The sequence below is a fragment of the Homo sapiens genome, chromosome 13, assembly GCF_000001405.40.
Source record: "Homo sapiens chromosome 13, GRCh38.p14 Primary Assembly".
Lineage (NCBI taxonomy): Eukaryota > Metazoa > Chordata > Mammalia > Primates > Hominidae > Homo > Homo sapiens.
This window is the reverse complement of record NC_000013.11, coordinates 38,419,501-38,422,069: the sequence shown is the minus strand read 5'-3', so window position 1 is coordinate 38,422,069 and position 2,569 is coordinate 38,419,501. Positions and strand designations below refer to the sequence as shown.

The 2,569-nt window shown below is 38.5% G+C and overlaps 1 annotated feature.

Annotated features, from left to right (window-relative positions):
• Window positions 2,282-2,331: a silencer, noted in NCBI's record as "silent region_5273". NCBI's record gives its function as "represses an Ori minimal core promoter by ATAC-STARR-seq in GM12878 lymphoblastoid cells {active_cell/tissue: GM12878}" and the evidence as "EXISTENCE:reporter gene assay evidence [ECO:0000049][PMID:35858748]".

Here is a 2,569-nt window from a genome sequence, read left to right as displayed (position 1 = left end):
TCATAGCAGTAGCTAAAAGGTTATTATGAAATGTATTTTTGTCATGGAACATTCCTGGGCAATCTTCAGTGATAGAAGCACTTGTTTCACTGGAAAGTTGTAAAACAGTTAATAAGGTATTCTAGATACAGTAGCTTTAGGCAAAGCTAACTGAACTGAGTGGATTGCTTTGGTCAAAAATATTTCAGATTGATGACACTCAGATCCACTTCCAAGGTAAAACAGAAGGTGACACTTTATAAAATAGTCTTACTGGAAGGTGTATGAACCTGATAATAGAACCTCATGCAGCCTTCACTACTGAATTCTGATAGAGCTAAATGCTGCAATGCTTTAATACATTATGCCAAGGTATATTTTTACCAGGTAAAGAAAGCTTCTCATGTTCTATTGACTGAGAATAATCAAACCCTTCATAATCTAGAACTTAGAGATTGTATCTTTTGAGAACAACATCAGAGAAAGACTGTCTTTGCCATCCACACAGCAGAAAAACGTTGGGACCTTGGGCCTTGGGTTCATAATATCACAACTCAGAAGGGTCCCTTGAGACTCTTGGAACTGTACACCCATCAGAGATCTTAAAGTAAAGCTAACTAGAGATGCTTCTCCCCACAAGCAAATGACAACCTTAAAGTGGACGCTTTGTCCCAGTATCACAGATCAAGACTTCTCTGCTATTATGAGACTCTGATCTCTCTATTTTTCCTTGCTTATGCCTCTATGAATAAGAGAACTGAAAAGGATCTCTCTTGTACATTTGTAGGGTATATTTGTATTTGTGGAGGATTTTGTAGCCAATCTAATATATGGACAATTTTATGCCTTGAAAAATGGAAGATGAAGGGCCAATGTGAGCTAGGAATTTTAATGGTATCTTTGTTGCTTCATAATCAGTCAGAAACAGAACATTGGACCACTCCTCTTAACCTACATCATAGGTTAAAGAGAATGTTGCCAGGAGGCCTTCACTCTTCTAGATGGGTAGCATTTGTTAGGTCTCTTTTTCCATAGTTTGGAGTAAATAAGGCAATGATTAAAAATTTATTCTTTATAAAAGGCTCAATAGCAGATTCTACTGTAAAGGCTATGGTTACACAGCAGACTTTAAATTCTTGTAAAAACATTGTGCTAAATAATAGAATTGCTCTTGATTACTTATTGGCTAAACAGAGAATTACCTGTGCAGCTGCTGATACTTCAAGTTGTACATGGAGGAATACATTGGGCATTATAGAAATTCAGCTGTAAGGAATTAATGAAAAGGCTGCTTGCTTAAAAAATAGACTCCTTATCTAGCTCATTCTGTGATCTATTTGATTTTAGTTAGTTTGTTTCATGGGGACCTTGGCTAAGGAGCATACTCTAAACTCTTTAAACAACTTCCTGATAGTCATGATAGTAGTCTCCCAGCTGCACTGTATTCTCGAAGAAGTTTTAAATGTTTGGATGTAGCCATCCATATAATGCCAAATGATCTCTATTCAACCAGAATGACAAAAACTCAAAGAGATGTATGACCCATGAGCTCACTGTACCCTACGAATGATGTACTGAGACCAGAAACCCAAAATGATGGCAACTGAGAGTGGCACTAAAACCGTAAGTTTTAGTTATACTCTCACCTAAGTGAGATGAAGTCTTCTCTGTTGCCCAGGCTGGAGTGCACTGACGCAATAGCTCACTACAATGTCCACCTCCCAGGTTCAAGTGATTCTCCTGCTTCAGCTTCCCAAGTCACTGGGATTACAAGTGCATATCACCACACCTGGCTAATTTTTGTATTTTTAATAGAGACAAGGTTTCACCATGTTGGCCAGGCTGGTCTCAAACTCCTGACCTCAAGTGATCTGCTCACCTTGGCCTCTCAAAGTGTTGGGATTACAGGTGTGAGCCACCATGCCTGGCCAGGGGGACATTTTTTTAAACAAAATTATGGGAGGCCATTGTTTCAAACTGAGCTTGTGAAGTAGGCTCCAACAGACCAGGTCAAACCAAAATGGAGTCACTCATGCTAAACATGACATAATCAAACTGAATCATTGACTCAGATAGATCCTAAAATAGACCTGGCTTTGTTTTTCTCTTGTAAACAGTAGATTCAACACAAAAAGGTCCTCTCTACTCTAACCCTTACAGAAAAAAAAAATTACCTGACATTTACAATAATGACAGTGACATCAATGCCTAATGTTTTGGTCTATTTCTCAAAGTTGACCAAAAGGGGAGAATTGTTAAGTTTATATTAAACCTGCCTCCTTACTTATTTTAAGTTTAGCCTAAAAGTTTCCCTATACATAGTAAACTGAAACCTCACTTGATGTGTAAACAGACTAACCTACTCTTGTGTCAGTCACTGAGTTCTGTCCAATTAAAGGTGGCCAACTGTTCAAACCATGTTCAAATAAGGCAAATGCCAAACTGTAATGCATCTGGCTGTTTCTTATCTCACTTCTGTTTTCTGTATGTCACTTTCCTTTTACTGTTCATAAATGTTCTTCCACTACGTGGCTGCACTGGAGTCTCTCTGTGTCCACTCTGGCTCAGGAGGCTGCCCGATTCATGAAAC